The sequence below is a fragment of the Homo sapiens genome, chromosome 1, assembly GCF_000001405.40.
Source record: "Homo sapiens chromosome 1, GRCh38.p14 Primary Assembly".
Lineage (NCBI taxonomy): Eukaryota > Metazoa > Chordata > Mammalia > Primates > Hominidae > Homo > Homo sapiens.
Window position 1 is genome coordinate 86,480,251 of NC_000001.11, and position 15,444 is coordinate 86,495,694.

The window sequence follows — 15,444 nt, forward strand, 5'->3', positions numbered from 1 at the left end:
ACAGAAAAAGATATTTGCAAAAACAAAAAAGAAAGCCTTTAGAAGCTTAGTATTGTAGCACATAAAGAGCTTTTGAAAAATCAGTAAAACAGTAACATCCAAATAGAAAAATAGACAAAGGAGAAGAATAGATAATTTACAAAAGAAGAAATTAAAATGCCCAGGAGTTTGAGACCAGCCTGGGCAACATGGTGAAACCCCTTCTCTACAAAAAATACAAAAATTGGCCTGGCATGGTGGCACATGCCTGTGGTCCCAGCTACTTGAGAGGCTGAGGTGGAAGGATCACCTGAGCCTGGGGGTGAGGTTGAAGCTGCAGTGAGCCATGATCACACCACTGCATTCTAGCCTGGGCAACAAGAGTAAGACCCTGTCTCAAGAAAAAGAAAATTAAAGAAATGAAATAAAAATGTCCAATAATAAAAATGTTCATACTTACTAGTAATGAGAGATGTAAATTTGATAGGGATGAGATTCATTTATTGTCTAGTAAGTTATTGTCAGCAGGATGAAAGCTCTCACAGATGGTTGTTAGAGGCATAAATTCATGCAACTTTTCTGGAAAGCAATTTGGGTGACACATATCAAATTAAAAAAAGTCTTGATCCTGTGATTTCATGTTTAAAAATGCATTGTAAGGAAATGATAGAGCAGCTGTATCAACGGGCTTTAAAATGTTCAAACTTTTGGATATAGTAATTACTCAGGGAATCAATCACAGGGCAAACTTGGAAATACAGTCAAAATTGGATATGAAATTTTGTTTATTCATTGATGTTTTATTTTAGTACTGACAAATTGGGAGGGGAAACTAAGTTCAACAAGTTAGTCTGAATACATATGATAGTATTAAAAGATATAAAATTATTAAGATCACATTTTGAATTTTTTTTTCTTTTTTTTTGGAGACAGTCCCAATTGTGTCTCCCAGGCTGGAGTGCAGTGGCGCGATCTCAGCTCACTGCAACCTCTGCCTCTCAGGTTCAAGCAATTCTCGTGCCTTAGCTTCCCGAGTAGCTGGGATTACAGGTGCGCAACACCATGCCCACCTAATTTTCATTGTATTTCTGGTAGAGTTGGGTTTCGCCATGTTGCCCAGGCTGGTCTCAAATTTCTGGCCTCAAGCAATCCACCCGCCTCAGCCTCCCAAAGTGCTGGGATTACAGGTGTGAGTCACCACACGCAGCCACATTTTGAAAAATATTAAATAATAATATTAAAAAATTAAATATGCTAAGTTTTTTTTAAAGCAGGAAACAAAGCTATCTGTGCAGTGAGTGTTATGTTGATATATACAAAGTGAAAAATGCTTCAACTTGGTAACAGTAGCTCATTTCTGATGGTGAGACATGTTTTTTTCTTTTCTTCATGCTTTTTGCCATTTTCCAAATTTTCTATACCGGTCATGCATGGTTATATACTTAAAAAATACAATTAAACAATAAGGTGTAGGGGGAAAGCATTCCAACTATAATAGCAACAAAAGTCATAAATACCTAATACATGGAAACATTTAAAATACCTATGAACATACCAGAACTCTACAAAAACCATGTGAAATAAACTAATCAGAAAACAAACAAACAAGAAATGTCAGCAAATCTTTTGTGGGAAATAAAAGAGGGCTCTTGACCTGCTAGGGATGAAGGGAATAGATTCAAAGGTGCCTGAGGACTTAGTCTGTATTAATGCTAACAACAGCCCTAAGCCAGACTTGGCTTTTCTGCTGCGTAGAAATACATTCTGATACCATTTTTGCAATCCCCTCAGATACTTTCTGGCAAACAGAAATGACTCTGATGACAATTTAACACTTTTGCTATGATGGGATGTCCTTGTTTCTTGGATCATGAGAGGAAAATCACAGAAAGGCAATCTGTCAGAAACTGAGCATAGACTCTGACCCTTTGAAATGACGACATCACCTAAACATCTAACCTTCCTATATTTTCAGATGTTCAGCAGGTATTACTGGTACAAATGTAGTAAAGAAGTGTCAGGGAGGCAGCTGTTACACCAAAAGATGCACATTCAATAAAGTAACAGGACTCTATGAAAAAGGATGTGAGTTTGTTCTCCAATCCCGCCAGACGGAGAAGGCTTCTATAATGTTTGCACAACATGTTGATTCTGTAAGTACCTTGTTCTCACCCCCTCCCCCAGATTCTTATGAATTTAGTGAGGCTTTTACTCCAAGTGCTCCAAGGGAGAATCAAAGTTTAGAGAAATCATCAGTGAGCAGTGGATTATCTCTGGGACAAGCTGGGTGTGCAAGTCAAGGATAAAGTCCTGTCTTCCTTCCCCTTACCCTCCTCGTGTCCACGCTTTCTTCTCCATCATCTCCCTCCCACTAGTTTTTAGTTCAAGTGCTTAGGATTACTTTAAATACTCACAAAGGCATACAAGCACACACATTCTTACTTAAATAAGGACTTAACCCAGGGGGATTAGGCAGTTCCTTTTATTAGTTAATAAAGACATGATCAGTAGGCTCTTGATTTAACTTTCAGAGAGCTCTTTTCAGACTGCATGTTTGCTTTTGGTTGTTAACTGAAATTTTCTATCTTTTTAAGAGTGTTGGTTACATTAGGGAGTTTACACATAGTTTAAATAGCTTTAAATAGTTTTAAAATTCTTAATTTTTTTAATGAATAACTGGTCATAAAATGAACTTGGCCAGTTATTGATATTACTGCTAAATATATAAATCAGAAATTTTGCGCAAAATGAGATTGAAGGCATCAGTTAACTGACTTCAGTGGGAAGTCTCTCTTGTCTTCCAGTCTCATATAAAATTACATTTTCCTTTTGGAATAGAGGGTGCAATAAATTGCAAGAGTCTGTTCAACAGGAATGGAGCATAAGTTTTTAAAATGTGATGCACCATGGCTCACCAGGCCCATCGTCCTTCAATTTGGCATTGCAGTCCATTCCCAGGCCTATTCAGAAACTTCCAGGAGGAGGCCCAGATTATATATTTTAAATTAGCCACAGAGTTAAATATGATGCCTAGTCAGGTGTGGAAGCCTCTGCCTGGGGTTTACACAAACGTTTTTCAGGTCTGCTTCCTAAAAAGTATCCATATTGATAACATAAAAACATTACCGAAACACATGACCTGAAAAACGCACATAAAGAGAAAAATGTTGTACAACTAATGATTACTTTCTAAATTAATAGCATCCCAGATATTAGGATTTGTAATTGCATGATAATATTGTAAAGTCACTGAGAGGAGGAATCATGTTACTTTTCTTTTGTATACTATGCCTTAAAAAAAAAATCCCCCACAGGCGAGAGATATAAATACTAGCAAGTGTTATATGACATAAGAAAGGTAAAGGAACCATCATTTATTGGCTGTGTTAGTATTGACCTTAGTGCATATATTCTCATTTATTTCCTGCATAATAACTATCACTATTTTGTAGATTTAATAATTCAGGTGCAGAGAGGTTAAGGTTACTCAAAAAATAACAAAGTCATATTGAGTTTTTGTTATGTGTCAGGCACTAGGGCTAAATTTTGAGGAAGCAAAATTTAGTAAGCAGGTTTCTGTAATAGATGGTGTATTAATTCATTTTCACACCTCTATAAACTATATCTAAGACTGGATAATTTATAAATGAAAGAGGTTTCATTGACTCACAGTTCCACATGGCTAGGGAGGCCTCAGGAAACTTACCATCATGGTGGAAGGCGAAGGAGAAGCAAGGCACACCTTACGAGGTGGCAGGAGAGAGAGAATGCAAGGGAAATTGCCGCTTACAAAATCATCAGATTACGTGGGAACTCACTCAATATCACAAGAACAGCATGGAGGAAACCATCTCGATGATCCAATCACCTCCCACCAGATCCCTCCCTCGACACGTGGGGATTACAAATCAAGATGAGATTTGGGTGGGACACAGAGCCAAACCATATCAGATGGATTTACAGTCCAGTAAGTGCACTGCAATGTTAAAGGGGCCTTATTGAAATTTCTACAAGATATCGTGAAGCTATAAAGGGTGGAATGGAAATTCTCAGGAGGAAGAGTAGAAAATGGAGAAACATTTCGGAAGTGACTTTTTGGCTGAACATGAAGGTAGAGTTTACAACGTAGAAGACAGAGGAGGAGCAATAGAGATGCCAAAGGCTGGCAAGTTTGGGAACTGACAGGCTATAGTGGGGTAAATTAGAGACATGGAATACACAGCCAGAATGAGAATGGAGAATGAAGCAAAGCTCCAAGTCATAGAGTTTGCCATTGGTATATGAAGAGTGGATTGTAATGTATGAACAATTAAAGCAGAGGAGTAAGAGGAAAGACTCTCAGGCAGCTGTGAGGTGGAACAAACAGAGAGGAAACAAGATGGAAAAGTCACAAAGTAAACTGCAATCGTCTGAGGGAGGGACTGTGATGGCTTGGGTGATGGATATTTCATTGGAGATGGAGAAAAGATGAAGAAATTGAGATATAGTGAAGTGCACTGGTCTTGGGTACTTTTTAGGAGGGAAAAGGTAGGAAAACTTCCAGTTTCCTAATTTTGGTGATGGGGTGCATAGTGGTGACATCAAGTTAGGAAATACCTGAGGAGGAGGAGCAGATGGGAGAAAAGTGATAAGGTCAATAATGAACATGTGGAGTTTGAGGCGCATGTGAGACATCCAAGTGGATTTTGGAGAGAGCTGGAACATTGGGAGTTGAAGGTTAGAATATAGTGTGTTGGTAAATGAGTGAGAAGTAAGGAAGTGGAGTTTGGTGGTATAAGGGTGGAGAGATAAGATGGTTCCAAGAGAGGAATGCTGGAGAGGGTGCTATGGAGAGAGCAGTGATGGCTTGAAATGGTAAATTTGAGGAGTAGGAAGGAAACCAAAAAGAGGAGGTAAATGGATTGCTGAGGAGCACTAAGGGTCCAATGAGATTGAAGGCCTGGTTTAAGGTAGGAAATCTGCATTATTACTGTGATTTTCCCCAGCACTGTTCCACAGTGATTGTGCAATTGAGCCAAGGTTATGCATTAGCAGAGCAGACAGGTCTAACAAATTATTAAATATTCTACCACATAGTTTACCATTATCTATATAATTTCATTGACAATTTCAGATAGTTGAATTCTGTACAGAACAAAACCACAACAAAGAAGCTCCAAACAAGCAAAATCAAAAATGCAATCTCCGAAGCACATGGGAAGTGATCCGTGATTCTGAGGACTTTAAGAAAACCACTCCTATGACAACACAGCCACCAAATCCCACCTTCTCATTGCTGCAGATTGGACAAAGAATTGTGTGTTTAGTCCTTGACAAATCTGGAAGCATGGCGGTATGTTCAATGAGTCTTGGTCTTCTGGATGCTGGTCACAGATATGCATGTTCTGGACCCTGACTCGGAACTAGTTGCGAATAAACATAACCCGAGGGCCAGAATAGTTATAACTGTAACATTGTCTTCAGAAATGCCCACTTCAACTTTGTTCAACAAAGGTTCAGCATCAACTATCTCATTTGCCAAATTGAATTAATTTTCAATTTATGAACCAAGATCTGATGAATTATATGAGCTTAACATTTTTAATGTTTCACTGACAATATATAAGTCTATAGGTCCATAGTCTTATATATTAGTCTGTTCTCATACTGCTATAAAGAAATACCCAAGACTGAGTAATTTATAAAGGAAAGAGGTTTAATCAACTCACAGTTCCACACGGCTGGGGAGGCCTCAGGAAATTTACAATCATGGTGGAAGGGGAGGCAGGCATGTCTTACATGGCAGCAGGAGAGAGAGAGAGAGAGAGAGAGAGTGCGCAATGTGGGAAGAGCCCCTTAGCCCCTTATAAAACCATCAGATCTCGTCAGAACTCACTCACTGTAACGAGAACATCCTGGAAGAAACCACCTCCATGTTCCTCCCACCTCCCACCAGGTCCCTCCCTCGACATGTGGGGATTATGGGGATTACAATTTGAGATGAGATTTGGTTGAGGACACAGAGCCAAACCGTATCACCTGATACAGAACTTACCTAGAATTATTACTAATGCATTGAACTTTAATGATTATGTAATCTGTTTTTATCTTTTACTATTTATACTCTGGCCCTAAAATTCTACCCAAAGGTGCTGCTAAATATAAATAAGAAATTTTTCCCCATAGGATATGCCTCAAGTAAGCTTATGGTCATTTGCTCTACATTAAGGCAGCCACTTCCAAATTCCCTATGGCCTTTTCTGTTATTAGTCTTTCCATCTAAACGTAACCTGTTTTTCTTTTGCTTCTCCATTTAGACTGGTAACCGCCTCAATCGACTGAATCAAGCAGGCCAGCTTTTCCTGCTGCAGACAGTTGAGCTGGGGTCCTGGGTTGGGATGGTGACATTTGACAGTGCTGCCCATGTACAAAATGAACTCATACAGATAAACAGTGGCAGTGACAGGGACACACTCGCCAAAAGATTACCTGCAGCAGCTTCAGGAGGGACGTCCATCTGCAGCGGGCTTCGATCGGCATTTACTGTGAGATGTGTTTTTCTATTGTAGTTTGGAATGTTTGCAATTTATGTTGCTTAACAAACTTCCATTTCCAGTGTTTCCATACATGCCTAGGGTCCAACTGGATGAGATAACCAAGGAGCAATATTCCATATTTACTTGGAGACTGTTTAGCCACATGAAACAGAATAGGAGGTTGAAAGGGGCTGGCAGGCATAAGGTCTCAGAACCTTGCAGTGTCTTAGGCAGGTTTGCCCTAAGCCTGCTATTTGGGCACATCACACTCAATAGTGCTGTTCCAGTTTCCCATGTGGCAGCAGGAATATGTAGTTTCCAGCTCACATGGCCTGATGTGGACAATGGGCTTGACCATTTCCTCAAGTGCTTTCTGTCTCTCTGACCATTTTGGTCCACTTTGAATATCAGTTCCCTGAAAGTGGTTTCTATTGCATACACAGTCAGCTATGAAACACTTCTCCAGATGCCTGCGTGCATCTGTGTTTTATTACCCCTGTCACCCACCCAAGCTTTGACTAAGGGAGCAAATAAGGGAGGAAAACAGACAATGAAATCACTGATGTGCTGTACCAAACCCTTGCTGTGCAAGACCCTAGGGGAGATGACTAATGCCAGATGGCGTGGTGGTGAAGAGAGAACCTCTGATTCTGCATCTTCCATTCAGATGAGCGAGAGAGAGAGAGTGTGCAGTACACCAGTGGAATTTAGGATGCCCCCTGGGGTGGAGTCTGGGTGTGGGGTGGGAGAAGCTCATGTGGCTTCAGGGTGATGAGGCAAAGGACCTTGGATCTTATACTGTGTTCAAGATCCCTGCTAGTCCCTGCTGCAGGCCCTGGTCAGGTCTGCCCTGTGCTCCTTGCAGTGGTGTCTGCTGTGGCCATATTAGTTTGGCTTGTTCTCTTGGCTTGCTCAGGGCCCAGTAGTCCTCCTCCACTGACTCAGCCCCACCCTGGCTCTCCCCGTTGGAGCAGAGCCCTGAGCACCACCCTATCCTCCATCCAGCCTCTAGCCATACTGTATACTCCTCAGCCTCTGTGGCAGGATTATCCTTCTCTCACCTGCCAACACCCAACTCAGCTGTCTTCTGTCTCCTCTTTAGGATATGTGGCAACATTTGCCTGTTTTCCATGACACACAGCAGTTATGGGGAGTGCGACAAGAAAATCCAAATTGGGCCTCTCTGGCCTGCAGCTTAGTAAGGCCAAAGCCGTGATCACAGCTGACAGGCTTCTGGGCTCTGGGCTCTTTGACACAGCAACAGCAACAGTCACTGTTCTGTTCTCTTCTAGGGAGTCAAGGTAGCCTCCTCTAATAGCTGAAACAGTGAGTGAGGCGGAAACCTCCTCTGCCCTCAGCTTTCCCTTCCACCTTCAGAGGACGCCTTCTTTTCTGAGATTCTAGGCCTTTGGAAGATGCCTTCTTATCTGAGATTCTAGGCCACAGATGCTTAGGCTTGATTTCTTGTTTCCCCTAATTCTGGGTCTCTCCTTCCACTCCGTTTAGGGGAAGAGTGGACTCTTGCTTTCTCTTCTTAAATAGATAGCATTATTCTTTTATCTAATTTTCCTCCCGTCCTAATCTTATTCAACATTGGCAGAAGGAGTATCCTGTCTATACCATATAAAAAAATAAATAAATAATCCAAATATACCAGGAGTAGTTGAGACATAGGTGTCACAGAACAACTAGGAACTGAGAATTAATGGAAATGAAATGTTTTGCTTTAATCAGAAAGGCTGTTAAAAATATTGACAACTCATGTGACCTAGGTAATGACCAATCAGAACCAATGCCAGCCAGAAATAGCTGGTATTGTCAGACTGGTGAATATCATATAAGTTAAAGTCTGCCCTGGGTCTAATATCCCCCCAATATAATCCCCATTAAATGAGATGGTTTCTGAAGGCATCTTGGAAGCTCTGAAAGCCTATCAAGGAGAGACCAAGTGAAGGAAACTAGGAACACCTTCTTTGCTGTTTCCCCAGTGCTGTCCACCCCTAGAGTTGCCCTGCATCCCACACCGTCCCTCTCTGCAGCAGACCAGCCAAGGGGAAAGACAGCGGTCAAGTTCCATGAATGCTGCTGGGTTAAGATTGTATCATTTCAAGACAGACAGATATTTGGTCATTCCCAGACAATTTTGGTTATTCCCTCTAGAATTTCTTTTCTCCTTTCCTGTAAGCAGAATTTTCATAAACACTTTGGCCACCCTAAGTCTGATAACTCGTGCCCTAAATTCTGTCCTTAGGTGATTAGGAAGAAATATCCAACTGATGGATCTGAAATTGTGCTGCTGACGGATGGGGAAGACAACACTATAAGTGGGTGCTTTAACGAGGTCAAACAAAGTGGTGCCATCATCCACACAGTCGCTTTGGGGCCCTCTGCAGCTCAAGAACTAGAGGAGCTGTCCAAAATGACAGGTGAGGGATGATTTGCTGAGACCCCCGGTATTGTCTCTCCTACTGGACTGTGAGCTCCAGTGAACTGGGGAGTGGGGGAAAGATGGGATGGAGAGAGATAGGATAACCTAATTGGCTAACTAGCCACCCTTACCCCTGAATGACTGTTTAAGTGGACTCTGCCCATTTATTTTAAAGCTTTGTGTCTAGGACTAAGGCAGCCTGGAGAAGATGGAACTAGCACAGCACTCTAGTGAGGACTCAGGACCTTCTTCCCGGGCCAGGAACCACTCCTTTCCAGTGGCAGCTGGCCAAGAGACCTAGGGGAGACAGATGACAAGCCACTAACTACATAACACCATGGCATAAGTGCTATATTAGCAACAGAAAGTACAATAAAGCACAAATAAGGGAGGCTTTAACTTTACCTGGAGAAAAAGCATTCAAGAAACAGGAGAAGTAGCAGGGAAGAGCAAAGGGCATGTTAAACAAGGCAAAAGATCACTCCCAAAATGGAATACAATGCAGTTCCTCCATAAAACCTTCACGTATTGTGTGTCTAACTCCCATACACAGACAGATGGTTAAAATAGATTCCATGTGTCACCAGCTTCTTTAGCAGAGTAGGTGAACACATATTTTTCTTTTTTAACTTAGGGATAATATTGTGGATCTCAATTATTATACTGAGTTGCCTTCTGAGGCCACTAAAATGCCAGAGCTGTTTATTCCTAATACTACCTGTCCTAGGCTGGGTTTCTTAGAAGCAGAGCCTGAGACAGGGATTTGGGTCCATGCAATTTATAGGAGAGAGAGCTCTTAGGAGAAAAGGAAGGAGGAAAGGATAGGGCCAGGGAAGGAGCTAAGCACTGATGCAGACCTAGTCGGAGTCTAGCTGTGCCCACAGGGGACTCTGGAATGGAAAGTACATCACAGACTTGTCTCACCTTGAGACAGGAGGGTGGCCTTTTGCACCATTGTGTCTATCAGTCTTTGGCTGTGGACTGTCAGAACAGGGCAGAGGAGAGGGGCATGTTATTTCTCTAGGTAGGGTGGCCCCTTTTGGTAAGATAATTCCCTGGAAGAGGAGGCAGCTATAAGCCAATGCCTAGAGCAGCTGGGAAGAGATGCACTTGGCTGGGTAAGGGGATGTGCGTGGGGCATCAACAGCCTTACTGAAATTATTTCCTTAAGTTCAGATGGAATTATAATAGTTAAAAAGTGCTTTCACATCAACTAACTTAGTGACACCTATTCTAAATAGCCCAGGACTGCCTGGCCTGGTGTAAAATCCTGTTTTTATAATATACTATTCTGTAAGTGTCCCTTTGTCCACTGTTTTTTCTTGCTGCTGTCACATATGTGCCTTTCCTCATTTAGAAGAAAACTCTAAAGCCACGTTTGTTGGAATTATGTTTCAAATAAGAGTAAATCGATAGTCCTGGAGTACGGCTTAATGACTTCTCTCATGTAAAAGTGCAGGACCTTTAATATGTAGATTTTATGACATCAATTTATATCATAAATTAATATCAAATCATATCAGAGATTCATGGCTGCTTTGCAGATAGTTGAAGTAGCCAGGTGACTGAGATGTTGCTGAAGCTATTATTTACTAAGATTTAAAAATTAGTGGCTGGGTGTGGTGGCTCACTCCTGTAATCCCAGAATTTTAGGAGGCCAAGGCAGGTGGATTGATTGAGCCCAGGAGTTCAAGACCAGCCTGAGTAACATGGCAAAACCCATCTCTAAAAAAAAAAAAAAAAAAAAAAATACAAAAATTAGACATGTTGGCATATGCTTGTAATCCCAGCTACTTGGGAGCTGAGGTAGGAAGATCGCTTGAGCCTGGAAGGTGGAGGTTGCAGTGAGCCAGGATCATGCCACTGTACTCCACCCTGGGCAACAGAGTGAGAGCCTGTCTTAGAAAAAATAAATAGGTTAAAAAAATACTATCAAATTCTGAGTTAATGTAGGCACCTATTTGATGTTGATCTATTTATACTTTAATAACACAAAGGGATATTTATATTGTATGCTCTCTAAACAACAGCTAAAATGTTGCAAATAGTTGCTTTCTGGAAAATAATTTCTGAAAATGTAATTGCATTTTAGGAGGTTTACAGACATATGCTTCAGATCAAGTTCAGAACAATGGCCTCATTGATGCTTTTGGGGCCCTTTCATCAGGAAATGGAGCTGTCTCTCAGCGCTCCATCCAGGTTGGAGTTCTTAATCTTTGGTTTTTCATATTTACACATAATCATAGCCAAGATGGAGAATTTAATGGCTAAAAGTTTTAAGTTTTCCACTCTTCTGGTACTGAATTAAAATGAAAATAGAAGGTCCAGCTTGATATTAAACATTATTCCTAAAATGCAACACTACTCATTTAAACAAGGCAATTAGTGTCTACTTGTTTGGAAGCAATACCAAGTGAATTCCTCACAGAAGTCAGCAGATAAAATGTCATATGTCCAAGAATTCTTTTTTAACATCTCTGAACAAGCAACTAGAGCAATATAATTGGCTCAGAATTTTCTTCAGAGTAGATCATCTCAATTACAAATTTTCTGGGACAAGTGTCCAGGGATTACTTGCTTTATTTTTCCATTACATCAAATTTCTGTTGTTTGCCAAGATTTACATATAATGGACAGAAAGTGCTTTGTACTGTAAAAAGCCAGTGGTGTGAGTCCAGACCCCTGGATCTTGGTCCTCGGTCTGCCATTAACTATGTGACCTAGGCAAAGAACTTCACCTCTGTGGACCTTCATTTCTCCACCAGGTAGAGACAGAAAACTTCCAATGGCCCATCTGGTCTAAAATTTCAAGAAAACCAAATTGCCTTTTAAAAGTCTTGAAACTATTAAGAAAAAAGAAAAATGTATTTTTTCAATGCTCTTTTTTAGTAATTGCAGAAATTATTCACATTAATTTTTAAACTAGAGAGAGTGAACAATCAGCATTCACACTGGTGTGAATTATAATTTTTATGATGAAAGTTCAGATAAAGATAAAGGAAAACTGTAATGTCAAAGCCTAATAATGAGAGATTTTGAAACCATAGGCTTTCTGGCTTACCAATGGAGCATTTATTCAATCTAGGAAGACAGCAATTATACCCATCTGGGTTATTCTGGTTCAGATTTAGAAAATTAAATGCAAGGGCCTGCTTTGGAAAAGGGAGGAATGTCTCCTAGAAAAGTAATTAAAGTGATAAAAGGACAAGTTCACATTTAGGAAATTTCTGCCTATGATTTTTGTATTTAAGAAACCTAACAGAGAGAGAGAGAGAGATGGAGAAATGAGCAAGACTCATTCACCAGTGTGCCACAAGAACCAGATCTAATAGCCCTTCGCTTTCTCCACTTGCCAGCTTGTGATCTACCTGTGAAACTAGGAAATCTGGCTCTATGACCAGCCCACTCTGTCTTCTAATAGGTGCTAACTCTGAGACAATAACTACCTAGGAGATAATCCTCAAAATCACATTTTCTAAAAAAGCCTTGTTAATCCTTCCTTACCTCACTCCCACTCTGCAGCTCCCTCATTCTATTCCAAACAAGCTGGCCTTGGCTTATGTCATTTATCTCCACAGGGCCTGCAATACTACCTGACTTAGCAATTAGGTAATTCAGACAATCCATGCGTGGGTAAAAAATAAGTCACAGTGAGTCCCCTTAAGGGTTCATAGTCTAATAAATAAGATGAGCTTCATATACCAATAAATATAGGGCGAAGCACAATATGATGAATGTCGAAGGATTGATAGAAATAAAATCCTATAGGAGATCAGAGGAAGGGGAGATTTTTTACAACTGGTAAATGAGATGGACAGCAGAGAAACCTTCATGGAGAAAGTAATATTTGAATTTTGAAGGATGGGTAAGGCTTAGACAAACAGAGAAGACTAAGAAGGCTTAGATAAATGGAGAAGACAAATGTAAAGCCTTCTAGGAAAACTAAAGAGTACGATAATAAAGTCAAAGAGTCAGGGATTCACAAGGACCTTTGGGGAGTGGTCTTGTTTGGGTGGAGGATGGAAAATTGTGGAAGCTAAGGCTAGAAAGGTAACTTAGAACTGCATCATAATTGCTCCTAACACCAAATCAAGGATTCAGGCATCACTGAAGTCTTTTTAATGGCGCACTGGGGAGACAGGGGCAGAAGGGAAAAGATCATGTGATGGGAGCTGTATTCTCCAGAAAGTAAGAGCTGTTTTTCTTAACAGCTTGAGAGTAAGGGATTAACCCTCCAGAACAGCCAGTGGATGAATGGCACAGTGATCGTGGACAGCACCGTGGGAAAGGACACTTTGTTTCTTATCACCTGGACAATGCAGCCTCCCCAAATCCTTCTCTGGGATCCCAGTGGACAGAAGCAAGGTGGCTTTGTAGTGGACAAAAACACCAAAATGGCCTACCTCCAAATCCCAGGCATTGCTAAGGTATGGAGTCAGCTTTTTTTCTTTCTCATAATTCAACAAGATAAAATAAAGTTTTTACAGAATAATTGTAGCATTTTAAATGTTGGTGGTTGCTAAAAGGAGAGTCAGTATTGAATCAAAGAGAGAACGAGGAAAAAAAATCTCCATCCAATGAAAATCACTCAGTATGTCAGCAAGTAAAGACAAAGGAAATAGGTGATATTTTGTCCAGGTACTAAATGGAGAACCTTTAAATTACATAGTAATCAAGATGCAAAATGATCCTCGACATTTTGGGATCATAAAAGTTATTTCCTTTATCTCAGAGACTCATCTCTTATAAAACCAAGGCAACAATAAGCATATAGCTTTCAGACCTCACCATCCCCCTCCCACCCGCCGTGGAATTTTCTTGACAATGGGAATGATATAGTTAGTTCAAACACACTGAAGCTCCCCGTGGCTGACAGAGTATCAAACATGCACACCTCTTCTTAGATATGCTTCCAACATGCTTATATCAGAGGGTTTTCCCGTACGTGACATTGAAGTCAGGTCTGTGTCACCTGAAGTTATTCATTGGAAATGTTTACATGTGTTTTGGTCAGGTTGGCACTTGGAAATACAGTCTGCAAGCAAGCTCACAAACCTTGACCCTGACTGTCACGTCCCGTGCGTCCAATGCTACCCTGCCTCCAATTACAGTGACTTCCAAAACGAACAAGGACACCAGCAAATTCCCCAGCCCTCTGGTAGTTTATGCAAATATTCGCCAAGGAGCCTCCCCAATTCTCAGGGCCAGTGTCACAGCCCTGATTGAATCAGTGAATGGAAAAACAGTTACCTTGGAACTACTGGATAATGGAGCAGGTAATCACCCAAGAAATTGGAAGATATTTATTTCTTTTTCCAAGAAGCAACCAGGGAATGCCAAGAGGGCATGGTCTGGTGAGGGCAGTTAGACAGGCAAGGCAGCACAGCACTGAGGTCTGGTTGGGAGAGTTCTCCATTTCCCCACAATTCCTACATTTCAAAATGCTGGAAAACATGAGGGCTTCTGCAAGGCCCAAAACACATTAACAGCTCAAGCTCAATAGATTCAGTCTCTGGGGAGTTGCCATAGGGTATTCCACAACCCCCAAAAAAGGAAAAGAGGAAAATTAATAACCATATTGTGTTAGGTGCTTTGTATATACACATACATACATACACACATATGAGTGTGTGTGTGTATACACAAATACATATATACAAAGATGTATATAACCTTTGTTTTTATAATATCTTCACTGAGGCTTTCACATTTAGAAAGCAGCAGAGATAGATTCAAGCACAGTCCTATATGATTCCTGTATCTATGCAGACTCTATATTAGCTTGCCCCAAAAGTGAAAATTCTGCCCATTATTCTTGTCTTTAAGAAGTCTATCAGGGAGAGAGAGAAAGAGAATTCTACAGTTTAAAAAAAAAAAAAAAACATGTCTGCTTACTGTGAAGCAAGTAACCTTAATAGAATGAATCCTGTGAATGAATTTCCCACCTAAATCTACCCTGGGGAGAAGTGATGAATTTTATTAAATAATCATACAACATTTTTTTCTTCCACATTTGCATATAGCAGTTTAATTTAGTTCAACAGATACTTATTGAGTAGTTACCTTGTGCTACATTGGGTGTAACACAGAAACGATACCATCTTAGATTTCAAAAAGAAAGTCAACAATTCAAGAAGACAGAATGTATACATAAAACCACACACAGTGATAAAAGAAGTAAGCCTTACCCTCAACACACCAAAATCTTAAGGTCTCTTGGAGCTAATGCTGAATTTCTTGTTGCTTTGAAAATTCATAGCCTACATATGAGTTGGAAATATACAAATACCCTCCCCGTTACCTATTTATTAATTCCTTCATTCTTTATCAAGGTGCTGATGCTACTAAGGATGACGGTGTCTACTCAAGGTATTTCACAACTTATGACACGAATGGTAGATACAGTGTAAAAGTGCGGGCTCTGGGAGGAGTTAACGCAGCCAGACGGAGAGTGATACCCCAGCAGAGTGGAGCACTGTACATACCTGGCTGGATTGAGAATGGTAAGTAATTTGTAATAAC

General features: G+C 40.6%; 1 protein-coding gene and 1 long non-coding RNA gene across 2 annotated transcripts in view; one reads left to right on the top strand and one right to left on the bottom strand.

The window, feature by feature from the left end:
- CLCA1 (chloride channel accessory 1) overlaps positions 1-15,444 on the top strand; it is a 31,333-nt gene that overhangs the window by 11,324 nt on the left and 4,565 nt on the right. Inside the window, exons 5-12 of the mRNA NM_001285.4 lie at positions 1,955-2,132; positions 5,093-5,311; positions 6,276-6,503; positions 8,746-8,920; positions 11,015-11,121; positions 13,134-13,349; positions 13,937-14,198; positions 15,255-15,425. Coding sequence (NP_001276.3) covers positions 1,955-2,132; positions 5,093-5,311; positions 6,276-6,503; positions 8,746-8,920; positions 11,015-11,121; positions 13,134-13,349; positions 13,937-14,198; positions 15,255-15,425 — 1,556 coding nt within the window. The remainder of the gene's footprint in view (positions 1-1,954; positions 2,133-5,092; positions 5,312-6,275; positions 6,504-8,745; positions 8,921-11,014; positions 11,122-13,133; positions 13,350-13,936; positions 14,199-15,254; positions 15,426-15,444) is intronic.
- LOC124904210 (uncharacterized) overlaps positions 1-15,444 on the bottom strand; it is a 51,701-nt gene that overhangs the window by 4,355 nt on the left and 31,902 nt on the right. The window contains exon 2 of the long non-coding RNA XR_007066206.1: positions 440-558. This is a non-coding gene — a long non-coding RNA (uncharacterized LOC124904210). The remainder of the gene's footprint in view (positions 1-439; positions 559-15,444) is intronic.